The sequence below is a fragment of the Homo sapiens genome, chromosome 13, assembly GCF_000001405.40.
Source record: "Homo sapiens chromosome 13, GRCh38.p14 Primary Assembly".
Lineage (NCBI taxonomy): Eukaryota > Metazoa > Chordata > Mammalia > Primates > Hominidae > Homo > Homo sapiens.
The window spans coordinates 102,822,714-102,849,341 of NC_000013.11; the positions used below are offsets into that span (position 1 = coordinate 102,822,714).

Below are 26,628 nucleotides of genomic sequence, written 5' to 3' on the forward strand. Positions count from 1 at the left end.
TGTACTATTTAGCAATTTCCATTTTTAAAATTGTTACAATCTTTTGACTGTGTAAATCAGAAAATTGTAATACATTGTTAAAGAAAAAATTATTCTGACACTTGTTAATAGGGTGAGAAGACTTTATTTTAAACTTGTGAAAGGCCTATTGTAGTAGGAATGAGAGATCAGGCTCAGCTCTGAATACAGCAAAGACAACAAAGACAACTGGGACTTTATAGCCAAGGGACACAGCGAGGGGTTTGGGGGTGGGATATTACTAAGAGGGTCAAGGGTATGGGGATTCTTGCTAAAGCCTAACAGACTTCTTGCTAAAGGCAGGTCAAGGGCTGAGACATCAGGAGTTGGCAGGGGACGTCCGTAAGGAACTTGATTAGATATTAAGGGTTGTGGGTTCTCTCTAAACTGACTTAGCAGGATTCATGCTAAAACTGGACACAGAAGTCTAAGGTCCAGGCCTGTTTGAGAAGAGGACTCAAGGATTAATCAGGAAGAGAATTGTTATCAATAGAGGGTATATGGTTTACCAAGGTAAAAGACTGAGCACAAAGTCAGATATATTTCTGTTGACCTATATTGGGTATATCAGGTTGGTTACTTGGAGGCAGGCTTGGAGATTACATGTTGCTTTCTACACATACTAGTTTTGTGACCTTGAACAAGTCACTTGCTGAGCCTTGATGTAGACCTTTTATCTTTCTATATTTGTATAGGGTCAGTGTGAGGATAAAAGGAGACATACTTGTAATGTACTTAGCACGCTGTGTTACAGAGTAAGGACTCAGTAAGTGCTAGCATTTATTCCTACTGACTAAATTCTATGCATTCACATGGGGCCTGTCTATCCTTCTGGAAAACACAGCTTTAAATGCTGTGTTGCTATTTATTTCTGTTTCTAGTGAGACTGTCACCACACTACTCTCAGTAAGTGATCAGGCAACGAAAAACTAAGAAAGGATATATTATCCTGTTTGGTAATTTTCTCTTCAGCTGTGTCTAGTTTGCTTTTTATACTGCCTATTGAGTTTGAGTTTTTTAAAAGAGGTTTTCAATCATTTTTATTCTAAAATATGTAGTTCTTTTAAAAATCTGCTTTTAAAAATAACCTCATTCCTTACTCATATTTTCAAACCCTTTTATTTTTTAAATCTATTGAAACTTTTTCCTCTGTATTTGGTGTAATGTAGGAAATGTGTATATATCTGATTTTGCTGTCTCTTGTTTCTTCTGGATCTTATTTGAGGTGTCTTCGTGTGCCATGAAAAGAAAATGCATAATTTGGCATTGTCTTTTATAGTTCTTGAATGTTTACTTCCACAGGATGTGCCAAACCTTTTTCTGGTCCAAAAGATTTTTATGGTCATTCTCCAGTTATTAGAAGGTATAATAATGATTCTGTCAGTTGTGTTCATTAAAAGTTTTATAAAATGTCTGCCAATGACATTTTGCACCCTGTAAACTGAATACATAGCAGTTCAGTGAAAGCAAGTGAGAGGGTAAGGGGTGTCAAGGCACAGTAATTAGCAACCTGAGCTGGCACCACCATGTGGAGTTCCTGCCCCTCTCTCAGGATAGCACATGTGTGACCTGGGACCTTTGGATGTAGGGTTGTATAGTGTAGACAGCATCCACACTCAATCCACAGAATAAATACTAGTAAAGCTTAATTTCTTTTTAAAATATGAGGGTCACTATAAATAAATGTTCTAATATTTTGTTTCTGTGCCCACAAAGGGGGTCATCTTGTATAACCACCTGGATGTGTCGGTACTGAAAATCATTAACCTAGAGGAGCAGTAGTTGGCAAATGTTTTTACATAAAAGGCTTGATAGTAAATATTCTTGGCTTTGAGAGACACATGGTTCTGGGGCAGTCACAGCTGCTTGATGCAGCTGCTTGGATCTTGAAGGCAGCCATAGACAACATGTAAACAAATGGATATGGTGGTGTCCTGGGAAAACCTTACTGATGGACCTGAAATTTGAATATCACATAATTTTCACATGTCACAAAATATTATTTTTCTTTTGAACTTTTAAAAATTTTATTATTTATTTTTTAGAGATGAGGGTCTCATTCCGTCCACTAGGCTGGAATGCAGTGGCTGTGATCATGGCTTACTGCAGCCTTGAACTCCTAGGCTCAAGCGATCCTTTCCCCTTAGCCTCCCAAGTAGCTAGGACTACAGGTTCATGCCACTGCACCTGGCTAATTTTTAATTTAATTAATTAATTAATTTTTTTTTTGAGACGGAGTCTCGCTCTGTTGCCCAGGCTGGAGTTCAGTGGCGCGATCTTGGCTCACTGCAAGCTCCACCTGCTGGGTTCACGCTATTCTCCTGCCTCAGCCTCCCGAGTAGCTGGGACTACAGGCGCCCACCACCATGCCCGGCTAATTTTTTGTATTTTTTTTAGTAGAGATGGGGTTTCACCATGTTAGCCAGGATGGTCTCGATCTCCTGACCTTGTGATCCGCCCGCCTCGGCCTCCCAAAGTGCTGGGATTACAGGTGTGAACCACTGTGCCCAGACTAATTTTATTTTTTAATTTTTTTCAATTAAATTTTTAGAGATGGGGGCTCACTATATTGCCCAGGCTAGTCTTGAACTCCTGGCCTTAAGTGATCCTCCTACCTCGGCCTCCCAAAGTGCTGGGATTACAGGCATGAGCTACTGTGCCTGGCCCAATTTTCTTTTGATTTTTAACAATGTAAAAACCATTTTAGCTTGCTGCCCATTTCAACACAGGCTGCAGTCTGGAGACTGGATTTACCTGTTGGTGGGAGTTTGCCAAACCCTAACCTAGAGGATGAAGCCTAAATTCCTGAGCATGGTGTTTGAGGGACTGGCTTTCGAATATCCTGCTTCAGCCTACCTCCCCTGGTGTTCAGCCATGCTGGGCTCCTCGATGTTTCCCTGTTCTTCACAAGATACAGGTCATCCTTAGGCCTATGTGCCTCACTGATGGGATGCCCTGCTGTGGAGCATGTGGAATGTGGGATTTCATATCTTTGTGATTGGTGGATTCCTATTTATTTGTCCATCCTGGACTTCAGCGTAACAAATGGATATGGTGGTGTCCCGTGAAAACCTGGGGGGATGGCTTTTTCTTCTGCTTGCCAGGCAGGATTCAATCCCTTCGTCTCCTGGGTTGTCACAGCACCATGTGTGCCTCTGGTAGAACTTTGATTTCATTGCGAGGTAATTCTTGGTGCACCGTATGGTTTCATGCAGAAAAACTAGAGTTGCCTTTCTTGAGGATTAGGCCAAGTTCTTACTCATTTGTGCATCACAGTGCCTGATACTTAGGTGCTCAGTAGGAGTTAATTTAATGAATTCGCAATTGAGGATATGAGTCAGGAGGAATTCAGGAGATTGGGGTTACGAAACTTCTAAGAGAGAATTTTGTTGTCCATTCCAAAGCTGGCATTCTTCCTTTGCAAGAGCTCTCTCTTGTGATGTGGAAAGGAAAATGTTTTCTCTTTCCCTTTCTGTAGCTCATCTTTCCTTCTGGCTCCTACCTGCTCTCCCCTCCCCACACTCCCAGACACACACTCACCTGCACCTGTGTGCTAGATCTGCCCTGCTTTCCATCAGAACCCAGTGCGTCCTCCTTCTGTCTTCTGGAGTCTCTCAGTTGACAGTTTTTCGTGTGTTCCTAAGGACAGGAAATGAGCCAACTCATTGAATCTGAAGTTTTCAACTTTACATCTTAGCAGTGCCTTGAACATTGCCTTTTACATTATAAATAGTAAGAGATTAAGATTGTCTCAGAATCACTTCCTAACTGATTCATAGGGTGGCTTTATATCTCTTTTAATGGGGTGTGGACCAAAATGCATGTCTGGGAGTATAGAAATAATCACTGGAACGAATGTCATACTTACGTGTCGGATATAATGGAAAGCTATTACAATACAGTTCTCAGTCTTGTGTCCCAAGACTGCATTATGAGTAAGGCCCTGGGAGACACCAGAACAAGTCTCATAATTCCTTTTACTTGTTTTCTTTTTGCCTGCTGATTAGAAGAGGACTTCATTTGAGTAGTTAATGGCTTTTTCTATTAATATCAGCAGTATCTAGATGGAGTGAGAGGATAGATGAAGAGATGGGTCAGTCAAAGTAAAGGAAATTAAGGGAAGCAGGAAGACCCAGAGAAATTAGAATAAGAGAGAAAATCTATCAAAGAAACTCTGGGTATCGAGGAAACATCAGCTATATACATTTAATCAAATTCCCAAAGTAAGAACATATACTTTTATAATTAATGGAATGGAATAAAACACTAAAAGGGCCATGGAGAGAGTTGACTTAGGAATCACTATTCTGGAATTTTAAAAGATTTTTGATCAACTGTCTTGTCCAACTTTAAGATTTTATACTATAATTTTGCTAGAAATTCTCATTTGTAGATCTTTTGAATATCTGTACTTTATTTATTTTATTTTCCAATAGTCTGGTACCTCCCAAGTTCTTTGTGACTTATTTAAATGTAATGATTTGGTGCATGTGTTAACCAGTTCCCTTAATAATCTAGGATGTGTAGCATTGGGTCCCAATGACTTTTTTTTTTTTTTTAACCTATTTGTTTAAATTTCCTCCAGCATACATCCAAACTTTTCATTGAGGAATGGGATAAACTACCTATTTTCCTTAAATTTGTTTTCTTTTGTTAGGGGGTTGAGGTGCTTACTGTAATTTGAGTAAGTTTTAATATATTTTTCAAGTTTTATTCCTACTTTCAATTTTTTTTTTCCAGAATATTCGACTTTTTACTGCTTTTCTGTGTGCATTTCCTGAAGGATAATTAATCTGCGTACGCCTCCTGGAATATTTTTGTCTTTACCTTTGCTAATTGGGGGACCCAGTTAAGCCCTGCTTCATCTCTGATATGTTCCTTGGCCACCTTAGCCCTGGATTCCTCTAAATTCCTCTAGTACTGATTTTTCACACCCATCATTTTCCATTTGCTATGTGCTATGTTTTATTATGTTTCACCTGTTCAATGTGAGTGTCCAGCTCCTTGACCATAGGGACTGTTCTGAGTAGCCCTTACATGCTAGATATGATGCCCACGACATTACACGTTACCCTATGAATTCTGATGGTATTCAGGCGGTAGGGTGGTTCATGTGTAAAGCAGACGTCTCTTCCGTTCTCTCCCATTGTGGAAGAAAGAGTTGCAGAGATAGGCTTTCTGATTTCTCTCTGGGATGTTCACTGGTGAAAACCATTGTCAGTGGCGCTATTTGTTTAAAAACACTTTTAAATCTATCTTCTCTTTGTGCTTAAATTGTTTTTTAAGGACCACTAAGCCTGTTTTTCACAATGGGCTTTACGTTTTCCTGGGGACCACGCTGTTGTGATTCAGGGACTCCCCGGTGCTTATGTCCAGTGGGCTCTTAGTAACTGTAAACTAAGCACACTAATGGAATAAAAGTGAAGTCCAGGGATTTTGATAAGACTTAGCTGTTAATATCAGTATTTTTTTCAGAGATGTCACTAGTCACAATGAAAATTTATTCTAGGAGTTGCCAACATTAGGTCTCTGTTCAGATAACTTCCGAGTATGGGTTCACTTAGCCACCAACATTTGCACCAGGCAAGTCCAGACTCATTTTTTTAATCAGCTAGCTTGAAAATTGCATTTATATTCATGTATTTAGTTTTTTCTAGTGGGTATTGCAGTTCATAACTTTTGCTTAACAGAGAAGACCCGTCTCTGGCCTCATTCCTGTATAACTCACACATCGCTTCACCATGATTGTTGTTACCAGCTTACTGAAGCACCTCAGTACATCTCCGGTGGACAATACATTAGTATTCTGTTTTCCTCATGTACTGGTTTTCTCCAATTAATATTAGACACAAATAATAAATCTCTTGAACATGCAGTGCTAACATACCCCTTTCCTCTTTAGGAGCTGTTTGGTGCTTGCTTACAGCATAAACTGCTTAGTGTCATTCCAAGCTGACACAAATTGGCCTTCCCCTGCTGTCCTCCATGTACCAGTTGTATTTAAGATGTCAGGGGAAGCTGGCATAGTGGCTCACGCCTGTAATCCCAGCAGGTTGGGAGGCCGAGGTGGGTGGATTCCTTGAGGCCAGGAGTTTGAGACTATCCTGGCCAACATAGTGAAACCTTTTCTCTACTAAGAATACAAAAAATTACCTGGGCATGGTGGCGTGCACCTGTAATCCCAGCTACTTGGGAGGCTGAGGCACGAGAATTGCTTGAACCCGGGAGGTGGAGGTTGCAGTGAGCTGAGATTGTGCCATGCACTCCAGCCTGGGCATCTTTTTTTTTTTTTTTAAAATAAAAAAGATGTCAGGGGAATAAGGACCTTGCAGAGTAATGTTAGATTGCTGGATTACCTATCAGAGTTTCAGAAGCTATTCTTGTCTTTGAAGGTGTAAAAATATACTCTATAAGTTCTTATGGAGTTATCTAGCATTCCTCTATAGATGATCAGGGTCTACAGGACAAGCTCATACTAAGCAAACTCAGAATGTCAGAATGTTAACAGAGTAACTTGAAGTAAGAAACATAATCTCAAAGGGACCAGAATTCTCTTATTGGCTGCTCAGAATACCTGCTCTTCTCCATGCAGCAGGCCAGTGGATTCCTGTAGTTTTTTTCTCCTTTCTCTATGCCGTGCAGATCATGGCTCTGCATTTGGTGGTGGTTGCTTTGTTGCTTAAGTTTCAGATTTTAAAGCTATACTGAAGTACAGACTCAACTTCATTCTGAATTTAGCTTCCCTCAGTAATACATTTGTGTCTTCTCATACACAGAATTACTTTCTTGGACAACTACCTTAATGTGTTGAATGCTGTATTTACTGGCTCGGCACAGTGGCTCACACCTGTAATCCCAGCACTTTGGGAGGCTGAGAGGGGCGGGACACTTGATTTTGGGAATTTGAGACCAGCCTGGCCAACATAGTGAAACCCCGTCTCTACTAAAAATACAAAAATTAGCTGGGCGTGGTGGTGAGTGCATGGAATCCCAATTACTTGGGAGGCTGAGGCATGAGGATTGTTTGAACCGGGGAGGTAGAGGTTGCAGTGAGCCGAGATCATGCCACTGCACTCCAGCCTCGGCGACAGAGCAAGGCCCTGTCTCAAAAAATAAAATAAAATAAAATAAATAATTAAATAAATGCTGTATTTACTATCTTTTATTTCAGAGGGTGATCTTTTTCTTATTTTGGCCTGAAATTGTTGGATTGTCCCACAGTAGGCTCCTCTATACCATCCTACCCTGTATTCTATAAACTAGATCACGGGCTGTTCCCTGAGTATATTCCTTTTCCCCAGTGGTTTTGTTTTCTCCTAATGCTCTTTCCTCTGTCTAGATTGTTGAAATCCTGACACTTCATTAAGTTTCATCTTGAATGCTACTTCTTCTTGACTCCTCAAACCTGATGTGCTCTTTCTCCTTTGAATTCTATGCCCCTTTTGTGGCACTATCTTATTCCACCTTATATAAAAGTTACTTGTTCCATCTTCCCTACTAATGCACTTGAGGGACCGTGCATCACTCCTTGGCTCTCTTCTGCGGCCGTGGACCTGCTGCTCTTAGTGGTCTTCAGCTATTTCAGTGGCCAGAAAGTCGATCACTGAAACTATGACTTGCAAGCTTTCATCTGCTTCATCTATTTTTAGGATTTCTAGTTTTAATGGGCTGTTTATGAATAAATAATTTAGCTTCTTCTAGGACATGCCAGTTAATGAAACCTCAGTTAATGGCTTTGAGTACTAAGTGCTGGTGAAAAGTCATTTCTTATGGTAATACTTTTGAAATTGACCACTATTATAGTTATGGCAAATGTCCAGGGAAGAGTGGGCATAAGAGGTTGTGGTGGTACTACCAGCCTGTCTCTGTAGAGATGTTATCTTGTCACTTGGCTTGTGAAGACTACTCCTCTAGCCTCCATAAGTTTTGTGTAAAGATTAAAGTGTGTGTAGAAAAATCTGGGTTCTTATCACACAACAAGGAAAGATTAGGCTCACAGATACTTTGAAGGGTGAAGGGGAACAGAATTTATTGGGTGAAAAGGAAAAAACTCAGCAAAGCGAGAAGGGTTCCTGCTAACAGGCCCCCATCTCACAGATTGAATCCCAGGTTGCCACACAGGGACAGGAGAGGCCAAGGTCCTCCCCTCTGCAAACAGCGGGCACTTCCTGAGGCCCAACCCCATCCTCCCAGCACGCAGGCCAGCTGGAGATTCTCCAGGAAGCCGTTTTTACTTGGCTGTCTCATTAGTAGGAGAAGTTTGCATTTTTAGAACTTGATTATTACCTGGAGTTTATTTTTATTCATATACATCAGTAGTTTTTTAAGTTGGGATGTGTGTACTGCATATATATTAGAACTTCTATATTTTAACCTAATTTTAAATTCCAACTTTTTGTATATCTTTTATAAAGACATATTAGTACAGTGGTATATGTATATACTTTATAAATGCATGTGCTAACATTGGGCATGCTTGTTCAGAATTTTAAGTGACAGCTGTGTACAACCAGAAAAGTTGAAACCATTGCTGAATACACTAGGTAAATTTCATAGACAAGTATGTGTGTTATTAGAAGGTTTTGGTAAGCAAGGACATATTTTAGTTCTTTAGTTTGCTAATGAGCTTACCTGAATTTCAGTTTAAAGAGTAAAACAGAATACATTTATTAACATTTTTTGTACCTATCAATAGCTTCTTGTTTTTCCCCAGCAGTGTCAGTGTATTCCAAGTAATGTCTTTTCTGTCCTTAAGCCCTTAACCGGTCCTTTGTGTAAAGCATGGACACTGCTTTATGGGCTTTCAGTTTGTGTGTTTGTTTGTTTTTAATAGCTTCAGGGGCCCTGTCAAAGTTAACCCGTGGATTGAAAGATGAATCGCTGGCTTATATCTATCATTGCCAAAATCATTATTTTTGTCCAATTGGCTTCGAAGCAACCCCTGTTAAAGCTAATAAAGCATTCAGGTAAGCATTGACGTGTTTTAGAAAGTGCATTTTAAGAAATATTAAAAAATAGATGGGTGCGGTAGCTCACGCCTGTAATCCTAGCACTTTGGGAGGCCGAGGTGGGCGGATCACGAGGTCAGAAGATCGAGACCATCCTGGCTAACACGGTGAAACCCCGTCTCTACTAAAAATACAAAAAAAAAAAAAAAAAAAAAATTAGCCGGGCGTGGTGGCAGGCGCCTGTAGTCCCAGCTACTCGGGAGGCTGAGGGAGGAGAATGGCGTGAACCCGGGAGGCAGAACTTGCAAAAAAAAAATTAAAAAAATTAAAAAATATTCAAAGTCTGTGATATTGGGAGGCTTGGCCATCTGCTTTCCTGACATCAAGTTAGACTATTCTTTAAACATTATGACTTATTCTTCTGCAGAATTGCATTTAGTTAATTGTGCTGTTGAAAATATCCATTTAGATACTGTTGTTCAGTCATTATAGGAAAAAGTCATTTGAAAAGTCACTTGTTTTTCTCTTAGAGACAGGGTCTCACTCTGTCATCCAGGCTGGAGTGCAATGGTGTAATTATAGGTCACTGCTGCCTCAAACTCCTGGCCTCAAGCAATCCTTCTACCTCAGCCTCCTGAGTGGCTAGAACTACAGGCATGCACCACCATGCCCAGCTCATAAAATTTTTTAATTTGTGTTTTCTATAGAGACGGGGTCTTGCTATGTTGTGCAGGCTGGTCTCAAACTCCTGGCCTCAAGTGGTCCTTATTCCTGGGCCTCCCAAAGTGCTGGGATTACAGGTGTGAGCCACCACACCCTTCCTGAAAAGTAATTTTTACATTTATTATAAAACAGTTGCAAAGGATTTTATAGACTATGTCACAGTGCCTCATCCAACGTCCCACATGAACAATATATTACAGAATCTAGTGTCAAGAAGATTGTCACAACTGAGTAAATTAAAAAGCATCTTCTTTTCTTAAAGTGAAGAATATGGAATTTGTCTGGGTTCCCCCTTTGTCCTGATTGCAAGGAAGCTCTGAGCCAATTTTTATTTCCAATGTCAGAAACTACATGACTTTCATGGTTATATTTCTTTTTTGCCTAATCTAGAGTTTCTGTTTTATTAACTATATAACTTTACTGGTAAACTTGCATCTTTGTGGAAGAGATGATCCCTAAGAAAGAGAAGGTGACTAAGTTTTAATGGTTTTTTTCCTGTTTAGCCACTTTTCCTTATGATGGGTTGAGATAATACCAGGATGGTTGAAAGCCAAGGGAGAAGTATCTAGTTAAGAATTGGTGGGTGGGGTGCAGTGGTGTAATCCCAGCATTTTGGGAGGCTGAGGCAGGCAGATTGCTTGCACCCAGGAGTTCAAGACCAGCCTGGGCAACATAGTGAGACCCTGTCTCTTAAAAAAATACAAAAGTTAGCTGAGTGTGTTGGTATGCACCTGTAGTCCCAGCTACTTGGGAGGCTGAGACGGGAGGATCGCCTGAGCTGAGAACATGCCACTGCACTCCAGCCTGGGCAACAGAGCGAGATCCTTTCTGTAAAAAAAGAAAGAAAGAAAGAAAGAATTGGTGAAAACACAAGCCATGAGTACTTTGAGCAAAGGGATTGGCTTGGTCATGGGGATAGGATGGGTTTTTTTTTTTTTTTTTTGAGACAAGGCCTTGCTGTGTTGCCCAGACTGGAGTGCAGTGGTGAGATCATAGCTCACTGCAGCCTCGACCTCCTGGGCTTAAGTGATCCTCCCACCTCAGCCTCCTGAGTAGCTGGAACTACAGGTACACACCACCATACTTGGCTAATTTTGAGATGGGGTTTCAGGGTTTCACCATGTTACCCAGGCTGGTCTTGAACTCCTGGGCTCCAGTGATCTGACCATGTCAGTCTCCCAAAGTGCTTGGATTATAGACGTGAGCCACCACACCCAGCCAGGATGGGTTATTTGGGGCTGGAGGCCATGTGGCTTTGGAGTCCCACTCAAAGGCCCCTCGGGTTTGGGGAAGAGAGGGATTCTGAGACAGGTTGGAATGACCTGGGAGAACCAGGAAGCTGGAAGTTGTGTTTTGTGAATAAGGAGCAAGAGGGAACTCTCTTGTTCTCTCCCAATGCTGAAATGCTTTATTCATCTTTCTGGAGGTGGAATTTCTTGTAAGTGAGGTATACTGTATGTTTCTTTTATGATTTCATCCTGCAGCTTCACCTTATTTCTGACATTTATCAAATATAAATCATGGTTTTAAACCAACTTTGTACCCTTTAAAAGAGAGTCCCTCACTTCTGCCTGTACCTAAGAATCATGTGAGATTTTCTTAAAAAACTATATAAATCCCCAGGCTCTACTCCAGACCTATTTGAATTAGAATGTCCAGGGATGGGTTTAGGACATCAGTGTGTTTAAAGACTTCATTGCTTTAGGGTTTCATTTTTAGGATGCGTTTTGAGATGTCTTGAATTCATAGTGAAAGGAGAAGAGTAGTGGAAAAATGCAGATAGCATTCCAGGATTTTTTTTTCCTCCTAGAATTTTAGAGGTGGTATATTAAAACATTTTATAGCCCTAGATTTTGAATAGAGGATTAAGGCTGAAATTTTAATTTGTGAGTTCTCTTTAATGGCCTGTAGAAATTTGCCCTCACCTAAGCTCTAATGTCTGTTCTTGATGAATGAATGCCAGGTTTGAATACACTCTAGTATGCCTTTTATTAATATATATTTGAAGCAATATACTCAAGGGAGTAACTATTAAACGTACTGTGAATGTATTTTATATTTAGCAGGGGACCTCTCTCACCACAGGAAGTTGAATATTGGATCTTAATTGGAGAATCAAGTAGAAAACATCCTGCCATTCACTGTAAAAAGTATGTTAACTTCCCTTTATTTTCTTTAATTGAGGTAACATTTAGATACAGTGAAATGCACAGATCTTAGTTGTATATAATTAGTTTGATAAATGAATGCACCTGTATAATCACCACCCAAACAGGATATGGTACACATTCATTGCCATGGAAAATACTCTCACTCTCTACTCCTATCAATCTCCATAGAAAGCCCCTCTTCTGATTTCTGTCACTACAGATTTGCTTTGCCTCTTCTTGAATTCCATGTAAAGAGAATCAGACAATATTATTTTTGCATCAATATCTTAAGTAACATTTTTGAGATTCCTCCATTGTGTCATGTGTATCAAGAGTTTATTATTTTTTTATTGCTGAGTAGTATTCTGTTGCATAAGCATGCTGCAATTTGTTTTCCATTTTCCTGTTGATGGGCATTTGGATTGCTTTGAGGTTTGGTCTCTTGTCAATGAAGCTCTTGGGAACATTCATGTACAAGCCTTGAAACAAATTATATAAAAATTTTATTAAAATATAATTCACATACCATAAAGTTCACTGCACCCACCATGCGCGGTGGCTCATGCCTGTAATCCCAGCACTTTGGGAGGCTGAGGTGGGAGGATCGCTTGAGCCCAGGAGTTCAAGGCCAACCTGGGCAACATAGTGAGACCCTGTCTCTACAAAAAAATTAAAAAATGAGGCAAGAGGATTGCTTGAGCCTAGGAGATTGAGGCTGTAATAAGCTGTGATCGTATCGCTGCACTCTCATCTGGGTGACAGAACGAGATCCTGCCTCAAAAAAAGGGAAAAAAGTGTACAATTCCATAGATTTTATTATAGTTACAGGGTTCTGCACCAATCACCACTATATAATTGCAGAACATTTTCATCACTCCAGAAAGAAACCCCATACCCCTTGGCAGTCACTCCGTATTCCCTGAGCCCTGGCAACCACTGATCTACCTTCTGTCTCTAGGGATTTGCCTATTCTTGTTTGTTTGTTTGTTTGGTTTTTTTAAGACAGAGTCTCTTTCTGTCACTTAGGTGGGAGTGCAGTGGTGTGATGTCAGCTCACTGAACCTTCATCTCCCAGGTTCAAGAGATTCTCCTGCCGTAGCCTCCTGAGTAGTTGGGCTTACAGGCGCCCACTATCACGCCCAGCTAATTTTTGTGTTTTTCGTAGAGACGGGGTTTCGCCATGTTGGCCAGGCTGGTCTCAAACTACTGATATCAAGTGATCCACCCTCCTCAGCCTCCCAAAGTGTTGGGATTACAGGCGTGAGCCACCACGCCTGGCTGGGATTTGCCTGTTCTTGACATTTCGTATAAATGGTGTCATACAGTATGTAGCATTTTGTACCTGGCTTCTTTCACTTAATACAGTGTTTTCAATGTCATCCATGTTTTAGCATGGATTAGAACTTCATTCCTTTATATGGCCAAATCATTTCCTTTGTATGGAGAAGTCACTTTTGTTGTACAAGTCTTTTAGAGGACATATGTTTTGTTCTCCTGGAAGACACCTAGGACTAGAATTGCTGATTCATAGTATAGATGTATATTTAAGAAACTGTGAGAAAATTCTCCAAAGTGGTTGTAAACCTTCTGATGAACAGAAGTTCTGATTCTAATTAATCTTAATTAAATTTATTTTATCAATTTTCTTCTTTTATATGTTTTGTGCCTCTATAAGAAATTTTTGCCTACCCCACGACCTCAAAGATGCTTTCCTGTTTTTTTCTAGAAGCTTTATAGATTTTATGTTTAGATTTCTGATCCCTTTCTATTATTGTTTTGAGACAGGGTCTCTCTCTATCACCCAGGCCAGAGAACAGCGGTGTGATCATGGCTCACTAAAGCCTCGACCTCCTGGGTTCAAGTGATCCTCCCATCTCAGTCTCCTGAGTAGCTGAGACCACAGATGTGTGCCCCCATGCCCTACTAATTTTAAAACTTTTTTGTAGAGACAGAGTCTTGCTGTGTTGTCCAGGCTGGTTTCAAACTCCTGGACTCAAGTGATCTTACTTCCTTGGCCTCCCAAAGGGCCGGGATTACAGATGTGAGCCACCATGCCTGGCCTTAATTACCTTTTGTGTGTGGTATGTGGTAGAGCTCAACTTTGATTTTTTCCCCCAGTGTTTATCTAGTTATTCTAGCACTATTTGTTTACAAAGATTTTCCTTTCCGTATTTAACTTCTTTGGTGCCTCTGCTGAAAACTGTATGTGTGGGCTGTTTCTGGACCCTGTCCTACTAATCTGTCTGTCCTTTTACCGATGCCACACTCTCAATTGTTGTTTATACTAAATCCTGAAATTAGATAGCACGAATTCTCTGAATTTTTCTTTTTCTTAAAGATTGTTTTGGCTCTTCTAGGACCTTGGCTTTTCCATAAAAATTTTAGAATTTGTCCTTTTAATTAGAGTTTGTAAAGATTTTGATGAGGATAGAATCTATAGAATTCATAATTTTGGCTGGGCGCGGTGGCTCATGCTTGTAATCCCAGCGCTTAGGTGGGAGGATCACTTCAGCTCAGGAGTTCGAGACCAGCCTTGGCACTATGGCGAAACCCCATCTCTACTAAAACGACAAAAATTAGCCAGGCATGGTGGCATGTGCGTGTAGTTTCAGCTACTCGGGAGGCTGAGGGGGGAGGATCAACTGAGCCTGGGAGGTCGAGGCTGCAGTGAGCTGAGATTGCACCACTGCACTCCTCCCTAAGTGATAAGGTGAGACCCTGTCTCATAAAGAAAGAAAGAATTCATAGTTTAGTTTTGGAAGAATTGACATCATAACAACATGGACTATATCTTTACTTAATTAGAGCTTTAATTTCAACTTTTTAAAAAAATTTTTTCAGTATGGAGTTTTATGTCTTTTATTAAACATTTTTTCTCTATGTGTTCTATTACACTGCTGGTGGGAATGTAAATTAGTACAATCACTATGACAAACAGTATGGAGATTCCTTAAAGAACTAAAAGTAGATCTACCATTTGATCCAGCAATCCCACTACTGAGTATCTGCCCAAAGGAAAATAAGTCATATGAAAAACACACAGGCACACACGTTTATAGTGGTACAATTCGCAGTTGCAAAGATGGAGAATCAACCTAAGTGCCCATCAACCAATGAGTGGATAAAGAAAATGTGGTATGTATATTACCACGGAATACTACTCAGCCATAAAAAGGAATGAAATGATGTCTTTTGCAACAACTTGGGTGGAGCCGGAGGCCGTTATTCTAAGTGAAGTAACTCAGGAATGGAAAGCCAAATATCATATGTTTTCACTTTAAGTGGGAGCTAAGCTATGCGGATGCAAAGGCATAAGAATGATATAATGGACTTTGGGGACTCCTGAGGGCAGTCTGGGAGGCGGGTGAGAGATAAAAGACTACATATTGGATTCAGTGTACACTGCTTGGATGATGGGTGCACTAAAATCTCAGAAATCACCACCGAAGAACTTATTGGTATAACCAAAACCCAGCTGTACCCCAAAAACAATTGAAGTAAAACTTAAAAAAGATATTGCAATAAAAAGGTTTTCCTCAGTGTGTTATACTTTTTGATGCTATTGTAAATTGATTTTTTTAAAATTTCATTTCTTCATTATTTGCTGGTTGAATACAAAAATACAATTGATTTTCCTATGTAGACCTTGAATCTTCCATCTTTACCAAATCCTTTTAGTTCTAGTAGTTGTTTTGTAATTCCCTTGGATTTTCTGCACAATTGTGTTGTCTCCTAATAGAGACATATTAACTTTACATTCTTTTAAAAGTGGACTTGACTGTAATTGAAAAGGAAATATAGCATATTGCTGCTTTAGCATGCAGGATGTCATCTAACATGTTGGTATTTATTTATTCTGTAGGAAGAGTAACCAATTGTACACTGAAAACCTTGGCAACGGTTGGATAAACAGAATTGTCATAAAACTAGAAGTTATTACAGTTTAGTAGATGAAACAATGTTGAGATAAGAGAATTACTGCCAATTATTGCTGTGATAATATTGCAGCAACTTGCTCATGAAAAATTCCATTGCAATGATACTTTAGACCTAAAGAAAATTGTGCTTTATCCTTTCTTCTTAACTATAGATGGGCAGATATTGTTACTGATCTAAACACTCAAAATCCAGAATACCTGGATATCCGGCACTTAGAGAGGGGACTGCAGTATAGAAAAACAAAGAAGGTAAGAAGAACACCATTGTGTTTGAAGGCATTTCCCAGCTGACCAAAATGTGGTGTTTTACTTAGCACTCTTTAGGTTGCAAGTAACAGAAACCTATATTTGATAGAGGAGTGAAAATTATTTTAAGGACACACGGCTGTCTTTAAAACCCAAGGGCAAGGGGTATAACCTGGAGTCATAAAGGAATGGTAGATGGTAGCAGGTATTGGAATGACAGCAAGGGCCAAGTAGCTGGTAGTCTGCTTCACTCTTTTGGGGGCTATATATTGTTCTTAGCTTTCCTTTTGTCTGATTACTTTCTTCGTAAGATCATCATCTTTCCATTTATGTGTCGTTTTTAGATGAACAGTCTAGACTGAGACTGACCTGTCTTGGGTTCAGTTCCGTAGTCTTAGCCCAGCTTGGGCCAGATTAACTGTGGCCTTGTGGCAGAGTCATGTGTACAAACAAGGCTTTGGGAGAGGCTCTCAGGAAATGATATCTTATTGATGCAATCTTACTCATATAACTATATGAAGAATAGGAGAGAGAGGAAAAGGAATGATCTTGGTGTTTGAATTAGGCAGATGGGGAAGTTCTCTAGTATGTGTTGGGAGTGAGTAGTAGAGAGGCATGGGGAGGAAGGTGTTTTGGCTCCGGTGGGCATTGTTATATTTTGTAAAGGCAGCTGTTAGAAAAGGTGCAGGATGAGGTGCTCTGATGATGCCTGGAAGGAAAGTACCATTCTGAGGCCGGTGAAGTAAAAAAAGAAAGAAGGGAGTTCATAGGGACCTACAAATTAGTACAATTAATTTCCCTTTATTTTCTTCAGCCAACATTTTTTTCTTCTCAGGTTGGGGGAAATTTGCATTGCATCATAGCATTCCAGAGACTTAACTGGCAAAGATTTGGCCTTTGGAACTTTCCATTTGGAACCATTAGACAAGAATCACAACCTCCAACACATGCCCAGGGAATTGCCAAATCTGAGAGTGAAGACAATATTTCCAAGAAGCAGCATGGGCGTCTGGGCCGGTCTTTCAGTGCTAGTTTCCATCAGGACTCGGCATGGAAAAAGATGTCTAGTATCCATGAGAGAAGGAACAGTGGTTACCAGGGTTACAGTGATTACGATGGGAATGATTGACTATGCTTGCTACTGAACAGCTGGCATTATATATGAAACTGCTATATACAGGACTGTATAAAGACAGTAGAAGATTTTAGTAAGCCTACATTAAATAGGAGCAGATCTTGTGGTATAAAAAATAACCTTGTAGTTCTCCAGATACTAAGCTTGTATATGATTATGGTGGGTGATTTCAGATATATAAGCAGATAAGCACAGATTATTGTCCTTTCAAGTTAAGAGTATATAATCTGGACAGAAAATTTCACAAAATTCAATAAAATTACAACTGTTGTCTAAATAAGTGAAACACAAATTCACTTAATAGCATCAAGATTTGAAATACTTAAGCATGAAGTGACTTTTATAATGACTCGATCCCTAGACATTTGTTACAGATAGTTTTATGCCTAAGACCAAGATGTAAAGTACCATCTGCCCTTAAAAAAAATTGGGGCTGTCAATTTCTAGTTTTCACTCATGGTTAACACGCATTTAAAATTATTTCATGAGTCTAGTAGTTCTTTGATTTATAGCAGGATCTTGCTTGCCTCATTTGTTTCCTGGTTATGTTCTTAGGATTCTGACTAAGAGGCAAAAGAGAAAAGACTCAAGAAACTGATCCTGGAGATCGAGACCATCCTGGCTAACATGGTGAAACCCCGTCTCTACTAAACATACAAAAAATTAGCCGGGTGTAGTGGTGGGCACCTGTAGTCCTAGCTACTCGAGAGGCTGAGGCAGGAGAATGGCGTGAACCCGGGAGGTGGAGCTTGCAGTGAGCGGAGATCGCGCCACTGCACTCCAGCCTGGGCGACAGGGCAAGACTCTGTCTCAAAAAAAAAAAAAAAAAAAAAGACGGATCCTTTTTTTTGGTGCAAATGGGTGACTTAGTGCATTGATTCAGATTTTTAAAATTTCTTGATGTGGTTTGTAATAATCAAATATTGACAAGAACCTTAGGTCTCGAAAGACTTTTATAAGTCTAGATGACGTTTGCCTTAGGGGTAAAGTAAAAGAACAATTGGCACCTTAAGTTTCTATACCCAAGGTTATCTGTGAAATGAGATCTCCTGATATTTGATTGCTTTCTCAGTATGGAGTCATATGTTGATAACAGTACTGAAGATGCATAAGAAATGCCCAAGTCACTCAGAGGACAACTACCCATATTCCAGACTCTGAGCTGTTTCCTTTTTAAAAATCATATAGACAATTAGCTGTTTGAAGTGAGTATTAAATATTTCAGAAGTGTGAATTTCATGTATTTGAGCTCCTCTAGTTGCTGTTGGTTTTTCTTCTGCTGCCAACCTGTGACTCACAAATGACTAGGATCTCTTGTTCTTTAATTTTAGGGTCTTGTTCCAGGACTCAAATCAGTAACTTGGTGATTACAAGGTGCTGAATGTGTTGGTAACCATATCGCAATACACCTCAAGGAAAAGGTTCAGATTTTTATTTTTAAAATATTTTCATTTTTTTCTTGAATTTTATATCCGTTTGTTCACTCGTACATGCCTAGCCTACAGAAGGGGATATATATTATGAAATGGTCATTTTTCTGAAGAGAATATTTTGCTTGAAATGCAAAGGACTGAAAGAGATTTGTAGGTTGTTGATTTTGTTACTTCATACTGGAACTTTTAAAAAGATTTCATCAAATAAAGTTTTGTTTTCTACTTTTAATTATATGAATGTTTTTAAACCTTTGTTTTAGGTAGAAGGTACCATTGTGTCTTTGAAGTACATGATAATTTGTCAATTCTGCTCAACTGGTACATTGTAAGAAACCATCTTGAGCCTTTTATAATTAATGAAACAATATGCATTATGATGACTGTAATTTTAGATTTCTAATTTAATAGGAAATAGAAAATTTGATTCTTTTATTAGCTTGAACCAAATGAAGTTGTCATCTTTGTAGGTCAAAAATGGTTGAATATTAGCAATTTCATACAGTTCAACTGAATATTTCAGAGAAGACGTAGGTAGGAAGAACCAAGAGGAAAGGAGAAAAATGCAAAATAAAATAAGAAATTAAAGGATAGGGAGACACCTAGAAAAACAGGATGAGTTATTCAGACTATTGACCATAATCAATTTTTATAAAAGTCTTGATCTGTTCTAAGTTTGGCTTCCAAGTTTGGCTTTCCAGTTATTAAGAGCACAATGAGGTTTGAGTTTAGTGAGATTATCTTTCCCGCAGAAGCTGTAAGCAAGAGTTACTGCATACTTCTCTTAGAAGATTAGTAAAATTCCCTTGATATTTGATTTCTTGGTCAGCTCTTAGGAATCCTATAGATACAGTGAAAGTTCAAATACTGGCTCTGCACTTACAAGCTATATCACCTATAGTGATATAGGCAAGTTAAGGTTAATTTTTTTTCTGTGCCTATTTCCTCATTAGTAAAGTGGGGGTAATAGTATCTACTTTATAAATGAATTTGAAGAATAAGCTAATACATGTAGTGTTTAGAACAGTGCTTTGTAGATAGGAAGTGCTATTTAAGAGCTTGCTATTATTCCAAAAGATGTGAATTTTACTATTCAGAGTCTTTAGAGAGAGCCCTTTAGATAGCATCTTAAGGAGCTAATTCCTTTTAAATCACATATGCACCCCTTAGTTGCTGTTTCTTCAAAAGAATATTTCATATTCAAGAATGTTGCTTTATTTTTTTGAGACAGAGTCTCGCTCTATTGCCAAGGCTGGAGTGCAGTGGTGCTCTCTGCAACCTCCGCCTCCCGGGTTCAAGTGGTTCTCCTGCTTCAGCCTCCCGAGTAGCTGGGATTACAGGCATGCACCACCATGCCCGGCTAATTTTTGTATTTTTAGTAGAGACTGGGTTTCACCATGTTGGCCAGGGTGGTCTCGAGCTCCCGGCCTCAAGTGATCTGCCTGCCTCGGCCTCCCAAAGTGCTGGGATTACAGGCGTGAGCCACCATGCCCAGCCTTTGCTTTGGTTTTAAAAGTACTTACAATACTCAAATGCCTATGTTGGCTATTTATTTTTACCCAGCTCACAGGCAGAAAAAAAAAAGTTTATTTAGATCAAATTCTGCAGCAATTCCTTTCCCTACTGCTATTACTGTTAAAGAACTGTGTGCCATCATTAGGCCAAGTTGGTGCAGCACCCAAAATACTTGCCAACTTGTCTTCTCCCAGACTGGAGGGGCTCAGGCAGCTCTTCTAGGATCCATCACATTCTGCATCTCAACTTTACCAATAACACTCCCACCCCTCCTGTACCAGCGATTCACTCAACAAACTAAATTATACACCATTACCAGGTCAGTTCTTAAATAGCTCAGCAGCAACAAGAACAACAAGATGTTGGTCGCATTCTAATTTTACTGGCAGAAACTGAGGGTTTCATTGGTGAAGAAACCTGCCTAGGATCACAGTGTCTTAGTTTCTCAGGGCTACCATAACAAAACACCACAGACAGGGTGGCGTAAACAACAGAAATTTGTTTTCTCATGGTTCTGGAAACTAGAAGTCCAGGAGCAGGCAGGTTTGGTTTCTTCTGAGGCCTGTCTCCTTCACCTGCAGAGGGCCGCCTTCTCACTGTGTCCTCACAAGGCCTTTCCTCTGTGCCTATCATCCCTGGAGTCTCTCCCTGTGGCCCAATTTCCTCTTTCTACAAAGACACCAGTCAAATTGGATTTAGGGCCTATCCTAATGGCCTCGTTTCAATTTAATCATTTTTAAACGCTGTGTCTTCAGATAGTCACATTCTGAGGTACTCAGGCTTCCACAGATGAATTTTGGAGGACACAATTCAGACCATAACACAAGGCAACATATGGTTCAGATGAGATCTGAATGAATGATCAGCCTAACCTCCAAGCAGATTCTTTCAGCAGACTGCAAGGTGCACTGGAGAGCTTTAGACTAGAGGCTTAAGAGGTCATTTAGGCAATATTTACAGAACTGCTAAGTGCCAGGATTGGGGGATGTAGCAGTCACGAAAATCGTTCTTCGTTTCAGTAAGTTTACAGTTTACCATGGGGAAGAGACAAATACTGAACAGGCAGTTATATTACTCTCAGTAAAATAACAACTGGGAACAGTTTCTGGGGATTACTTTACATATGGAGGAAATGCAAAAAACACTTTGTCAGGATTATTCCTGTAGCAAATTAGATGTGACTAGGTCAACCAAACATGGCCACTGTGAACCATCTTATTGAGCATAGAAGTGGTTTTGCTAAAAATGGATTTCTCCACGGAGCACGGTGGCTCATGTCTGTAACTCCAGCACTTTGGGAGACTGAGGCAGGAGGATTGTTTGAGACCAGTTTGGGCAACAAAGCAAGACCCTGTCTCAAAAAAAAAAAAATCAGGGCGTGGTGGTGGGGGCCTGTAATCTCAACTACTCGGGAGGCTGAGGCAAGAGCATCACTTGAGCCTGAGAGGTGGAAGTTGCAGTAAGCTGAGACTGCACTACTGCACTCTAGCCTGGGCGACAGAGTGAGACCCTGTCAAAAAAATAAAAAATAAAAAAATAAAAAAAATCAATTTCCCGTATACTTCTGTTATAAAGAAGTCTTTAAAAAATTGCCTGCTCCCTTAAGTCAGCCTTTTCACTGAGTTTAAATTTCGTTCCAATTTGAACAAATATGGATGCTAATACTATCCTTTATAGTTACTAGTGCTAAGTGCGTTGCATGTAACACCTTGAATACTTACTGAAGTCTGCAAGGTTGGTTTTATGCCCTGATTACTGATGGAGACACAAATTCTGAACAACTGTGACTTCAGGGATGCTAAACACCATAGTGAGGCACGATGCGGGGATTTGAATCTTGGCCTGAGGGTTCCAGAGCTGTGGCCTTTTCTGGGGTTACTCTGTTAATTGATTTCTAGTCCTTTCTGATCTACAAGCCGCGGCATTATAACTTTTAGATGCTGAAGAAAACTAAACTATATGTCAAGGATTAAGGCTTGTGAACCCCCAAAATTTGGGACAGGTCTCAGTTAATTTAGAAAGTTTATTTTGCCAACGTTAAGGACGCGCAGCTGTGACACAGCCCCAGGAAGTCCAGATGACATGTGCCCAAGGTGGTTGGGGCACAGATTGGTTTTATACATTTTAGGGAGACAGGAGACATCAATCAACATATGTAAGTACACTGGTTCCTTCCAGAAAGGTGGGGACAACTCGGAAGCAGGAAGGGCTTCTAGGTCACAGGTAGATGAGAGACAAAAGGCTGCATACGAGTTTCTGATAAGCCTTTCCAAAGGAGACAATCAGAATATGCATCTATCTCAGTGAGCAGAAGGATGACTGACTAGAATGGGAGGCAGGTTTTGCCCTGAGCAGTTCCCAGCTTGACTTTTCCCTTTTGCTTAGTAATTTTGGGACCCTAACATTTTCACAGGCTTTAAATTTTATTATTCTTTAGTTACTACGTGCTAGCATATAAATAAATAGTACAAAACCAAGAAGGCATCCACCTTTTGGTTGTCTCTTCACGTGTAAAACAACACTTTGTGTTAAGTATCTTCACACACGGCGGCGCAAAGGTAGAAACCGATACTAAAAAAGCGTGTAGAAAATAGTTCCCAGCCTGGGCAACACAGGGAGACCTCATTTCTACAAAAATAATTCGCCAAGCATAGTGGTGCGCACCTGCGGTCCCAGCTACTTGAGAGGCTGAGATGGGAAAGTTGCTTGAGCTCGGGCAGCAGGAGTTCCAGGCTGCAGTGAGCTAAGAATGCGCCACTGGACTCCAGTATGGGCGACAGCGTGAGACCCTGTCTCAAACAAAAACAAAAGCCCGTTACTCCACCAAGAAGGCGCTTTTGCACATTGTTTTAATGCTTAACGCCTTCAGGATGCCAGCGTGACGGAAGCAAGTAACCACCAAGGCATCACCACTGGCGCTAAACTTCTCACTTCCGGAGTGCTGCAAGCGCAGAAAATATACGTCATGTGCGGAGGCGGAGCTTCCGCCCTGCGCGTCGTATTAGACGGAAACCGAGCGGGCCCATTTTTCATGGGTTTGCGGACCCACCAGCGAAGGCGGGAGGTGTCGCAGGGACATCTTCTGGCTGTTTCCGTCGCCTGCGTGGCCCTTGCACCCCGGTCTTCCATTAGCGGCGCAGACGTTTGGGCCTAAGCGCTGGGCGAGGCGAGGCCCTGCCCCTCCCCGCCAACGGCCATTCTCTGGACCTGTCTTTCTTCCGGGAGGCGGTGACAGCTGCTGAGACGTGTTGCAGCCAGAGTCTCTCCGCTTTAATGCGCTCCCATTAGTGCCGTCCCCCACTGGAAAACCGTGGCTTCTGTATTATTTGCCATCTTTGTTGTGTAGGAGCAGGGAGGGCTTCCTCCCGGGGTCCTAGGCGGCGGTGCAGTCCGTCGTAGAAGAATTAGAGTAGAAGTTGTCGGGGTCCGCTCTTAGGACGCAGCCGCCTCATGGGGGTCCAGGGGCTCTGGAAGCTGCTGGAGTGCTCCGGGCGGCAGGTCAGCCCCGAAGCGCTGGAAGGGAAGATCCTGGCTGTTGGTATCCTTAACGCCGCGTTGGGACTTGGGGTGCAGGGATTCGGGGCTGGATTCCTCGCGGGGCTCTGCCTTGGGCACAGTGGCATCTGCAGGATGATGGTCTTGGGTCGGGGTCGGGGTCGCTATAGAATCTCTGTCACTAGGTTTTCTAAGTACAGTCGTCCCTCGGTATCCCCGGGGCTTTGGTTCCAGCCCCTCCTCCGTATACCACGATGTTCAAGTTCCTTCAACTCCCTTATATAATGGCGTGGTATTTGCATATAAACTACCCACTTCCGTAATCTTTTAAATCGTTTCTAGCTTACTTGTAATGCCGAATGCAATGTAAGTGATCTGTAAATAGTTGTTATACTGTATTTTAAAATTTTTTGTAGTTTTTATTGGTATGTTTTATTTATTTATTTTTTTCCATCGCAAATATTTTTGATCCGTGGTAGGTTGATTGCGGAATCGGGTGATGAGGCGGGCCGCCCTGTCTGCTTTCCCCAGCTTTGCAGTCTTAGCGGCCTGTGCATCCTGGTTTGTCACTTTGTGGCAGTGCTTTATGTTCCTCTCTGCCTTAGTTCTCTCATCTGCAAAGTAGAGGTGGTGATAGTATCTACACACAGGATTGGAATGAGGAATAAAGAAATTGCCTACATGAGAGAAGTTTAGTGCGATTAATACAGTAAATCTTAAAGTTATTATCCTGTCCGGGAGGTCAGTAAGGAGAGCAGAGTAGACTTCGACGATTAGTTTTGCTTGAGTCTTGCCCCATTTATGTTTCTTAGAGGAAGGATAGTGTGGACAGGTGTTTTACCCATTTTTTAAATTGACTTTTTAAGGACTATTGTTTCTGTACATGTTTGGCTGGTTTTGTTTGTCATTGGAATTAAATTCTTTTTTCATTAGCAAAACGTGATACTGCTTTTGAAATTTTTATCTTTTTCTTTGTTATGTAGTCATTTTTTTTTTTTTTTTGAGTATCTATTCTGGCTCAGAATCTGGTGATACCTTACACCAATTTCCTAAATGGGGATCTATGAGTCTAGGGGCTCGTGGGCTTGTGGAAAGAGTCCTGTAAATGATTGCGGGGGGATTGGGGACGGGAAATGGAGTGCAAGAGTGTGTGGGCGTTCAGCAAAGGAATCCCTGACTGTGGAGCCCTAATTCTTCAGTAGGTACAAAACTTATAAATAAAACGACATTGATAAGTTTTAAAACATAATGAGATTATCATTTTTTGCAAGTGAATAATCTTTAAATAAATCTGTAATTGATTTTTGGCTTAAAAGTTTTTATACAGGGTACTTTGAATTGGGGAAAGCCAAAGGATTTTTGTTTTGTTTTGTTTTGTTTTTTGTTTTTTAGAGCACATGCGCTGTTGCTGCCCTCAAGCTGTTGCTTAGTATCATTGCAGTCTAAAGATTTTCTCAGAAATAAAGGGTAAAGGTTAGTTTTCAGTGACAAGAACCCTTAAAACTTCAGCAAAGATTTAGATCATTTTATGTAGCAGCCCTTGTGAAGAATTACTAAAGAGGACTGTGGCCAGGCTCAGTGGCTTACGCCTGTCATCCCAGCACTTTGGGAGGTCAAGGCAGGAGGATCATTTGAGCCCAGGAGTTCAAGACCAGCCTGGGCAACATAGTGAACCCCTGTCTACACACAGTCAAAAAATTAGCTGGACGTGGTGGCCTGCACCTTTGGTCCCAGCTACACGGAAGGCTGAGGCAGGAAGATTGCTTGGGCCCAGGCGGTCAAGGCTGCAATGAGCCGTGTTCATGTCTGTCTCTGAATAAATAAATAAAAAGGACTGTGAAAGACATTCTAGTCATGACAACCTCATATATTTATAATAAACTCGTTTATGTCAAAGGAGTATATCTGATTACTTGTTCTACAATCGGTTTTGCTTTATTTCATTTTCACGGGAATTCAGACACCTGAAATTATTTAGATTTTATTGTATTGTTTGTTAATGACAAACTTACCCGTTATTATACTAGTTTCATAATTTACTCTTGTATCTCTATACTAAATTGTTTGGTCTTTAAACCATCTATATAGCTTAGTGTCTTATTTATACAGTCTAAATGTCTGTGTCAAATAATGCAGAAGTAAGTTAAACTTTTGTCTCTTATAGATTTTAATGTTTGTAATATGCGTTTAAGTGTATTAGCAAGATATTACCATCTCTTTAGGCTATGTATACTAATGGAGATTTTTAAGTCACCTAACTAAAGAACTAAAGAAACTTATTTTTTGTATTGAAATGTTATTGGTCTTTGGGTCTTATACCGAAAGTGATTTTTGGCTTTGCTGCAGATTTTAACTTTTCTGTCCGCAGAAATTTAATTTTGCGTATATAAACTTACTGAAATTAGACAAGTCAAATTATACAAATATTTTCAGATTGTCTCATTTTTCATATTTCTTGTCTAACAATTTATGTGAATATTTTCAGGTCGTCTAATTTTACATATTTCATCTCTAAGAATTCAAGCCAAAATTCTCAACCCTAGCTGAGAATTGGCATTACCTGTAGTTAATTGAAAAATAAAAAATAAAAGAAGTCCTACCTCAGTCTCTATGATTTAGAATTTTAGGCCCATGGGGTTTAATAATCCGTATGTTTCAGAAGCTTCATATCCTATTCTAATGGATAGCAGGGATGAGAGCCACTGATCTGAAACTAGATTTCCTCACTGAAGTTAAAGTTTAAAGTAGTGGGCCAAGTAGAAACTAATTTAATCCTATGTAATAGTGAGCTTCATGGCTTTTCCAGACTATACTTGTAGCAAGCAGAAACATCGATCTAATACAAGACAGATGCACATCAACACCAAGTTCTACCTCTGAGATGTATCTTTTATCCGATCTCTTCTCGTGGTCTCCACCACTACTGTCTGCGTTAACTTGGGCTATTGTAACTCATTTTAGAACTGGTTTCCTTATAATCTGTTCTTCACATGTTCATCAAAGTTATCCTTAAATCATGTTCTAGAAACT

General features: G+C 40.3%; 3 protein-coding genes across 4 annotated transcripts in view, besides 8 other annotated features; all 3 read left to right on the plus strand.

Moving 5' to 3' along the window:
- Positions 1-18,820, plus strand: part of BIVM (basic, immunoglobulin-like variable motif containing) — a 42,415-nt gene extending 23,595 nt beyond the window's left edge. Inside the window, exons 8-11 of one of the 2 annotated variants that reach the window (NM_017693.4) lie at positions 8,852-8,984; positions 11,753-11,839; positions 15,930-16,026; positions 16,859-18,820. In NM_017693.4, coding sequence (NP_060163.2) covers positions 8,852-8,984; positions 11,753-11,839; positions 15,930-16,026; positions 16,859-17,152 — 611 coding nt within the window. In that variant the 3' untranslated portion in view covers positions 17,153-18,820. Of the gene's footprint in view, positions 1-8,851; positions 8,985-11,752; positions 11,840-15,929; positions 16,027-16,837 lie in introns of both variants that reach the window. The other variant, NM_001159596.2, reaches the window with a different exon arrangement.
- BIVM-ERCC5 (BIVM-ERCC5 readthrough) overlaps positions 1-26,628 on the plus strand; it is a 68,850-nt gene that overhangs the window by 15,568 nt on the left and 26,654 nt on the right. The window contains exons 6-9 of the mRNA NM_001204425.2: positions 8,852-8,984; positions 11,753-11,839; positions 15,930-16,026; positions 16,859-17,090. Of these exons, the coding sequence (NP_001191354.2) occupies positions 8,852-8,984; positions 11,753-11,839; positions 15,930-16,026; positions 16,859-17,090 (549 nt within the window). The remainder of the gene's footprint in view (positions 1-8,851; positions 8,985-11,752; positions 11,840-15,929; positions 16,027-16,858; positions 17,091-26,628) is intronic.
- Positions 3,097-3,598: an enhancer, noted in NCBI's record as "NANOG hESC enhancer chr13:103478160-103478661 (GRCh37/hg19 assembly coordinates)". NCBI's record gives its function as "activates a minimal SCP1, AML or CMV promoter by ChIP-STARR-seq in naive H9 embryonic stem cells {active_cell/tissue: H9 hESC(naive)}" and the evidence as "EXISTENCE:reporter gene assay evidence [ECO:0000049][PMID:30033119]".
- Positions 10,633-10,832: a silencer, noted in NCBI's record as "fragment chr13:103485696-103485895 (GRCh37/hg19 assembly coordinates)". NCBI's record gives its function as "represses an EF-1alpha promoter that drives an FKBP-Casp9 reporter gene in an ReSE screen in K562 erythroleukemia cells {active_cell/tissue: K562}" and the evidence as "EXISTENCE:reporter gene assay evidence [ECO:0000049][PMID:32094911]".
- Positions 22,249-23,073: an enhancer, noted in NCBI's record as "H3K27ac hESC enhancer chr13:103497312-103498136 (GRCh37/hg19 assembly coordinates)". NCBI's record gives its function as "activates a minimal SCP1, AML or CMV promoter by ChIP-STARR-seq in primed H9 embryonic stem cells {active_cell/tissue: H9 hESC(primed)}" and the evidence as "EXISTENCE:reporter gene assay evidence [ECO:0000049][PMID:30033119]".
- Positions 22,249-23,896: a biological region, named in NCBI's record as "H3K27ac hESC enhancers GRCh37_chr13:103497312-103498136 and GRCh37_chr13:103498137-103498959".
- Positions 22,658-22,707: an enhancer, noted in NCBI's record as "active region_7971". NCBI's record gives its function as "activates an Ori minimal core promoter by ATAC-STARR-seq in GM12878 lymphoblastoid cells {active_cell/tissue: GM12878}" and the evidence as "EXISTENCE:reporter gene assay evidence [ECO:0000049][PMID:35858748]".
- Positions 22,918-23,707: an enhancer, noted in NCBI's record as "active region_7972". NCBI's record gives its function as "activates an Ori minimal core promoter by ATAC-STARR-seq in GM12878 lymphoblastoid cells {active_cell/tissue: GM12878}" and the evidence as "EXISTENCE:reporter gene assay evidence [ECO:0000049][PMID:35858748]".
- Positions 23,074-23,896: an enhancer, noted in NCBI's record as "H3K27ac hESC enhancer chr13:103498137-103498959 (GRCh37/hg19 assembly coordinates)". NCBI's record gives its function as "activates a minimal SCP1, AML or CMV promoter by ChIP-STARR-seq in naive and primed H9 embryonic stem cells {active_cell/tissue: H9 hESC(naive and primed)}" and the evidence as "EXISTENCE:reporter gene assay evidence [ECO:0000049][PMID:30033119]".
- Positions 23,319-26,628, plus strand: part of ERCC5 (ERCC excision repair 5, endonuclease) — a 29,964-nt gene continuing 26,654 nt past the window's right edge. Inside the window, exon 1 of the mRNA NM_000123.4 lies at positions 23,319-23,641. Within this exon, the coding sequence (NP_000114.3) occupies positions 23,554-23,641 (88 nt within the window). The 5' untranslated portion in view covers positions 23,319-23,553. The remainder of the gene's footprint in view (positions 23,642-26,628) is intronic.
- Positions 24,058-24,107: a silencer, noted in NCBI's record as "silent region_5487". NCBI's record gives its function as "represses an Ori minimal core promoter by ATAC-STARR-seq in GM12878 lymphoblastoid cells {active_cell/tissue: GM12878}" and the evidence as "EXISTENCE:reporter gene assay evidence [ECO:0000049][PMID:35858748]".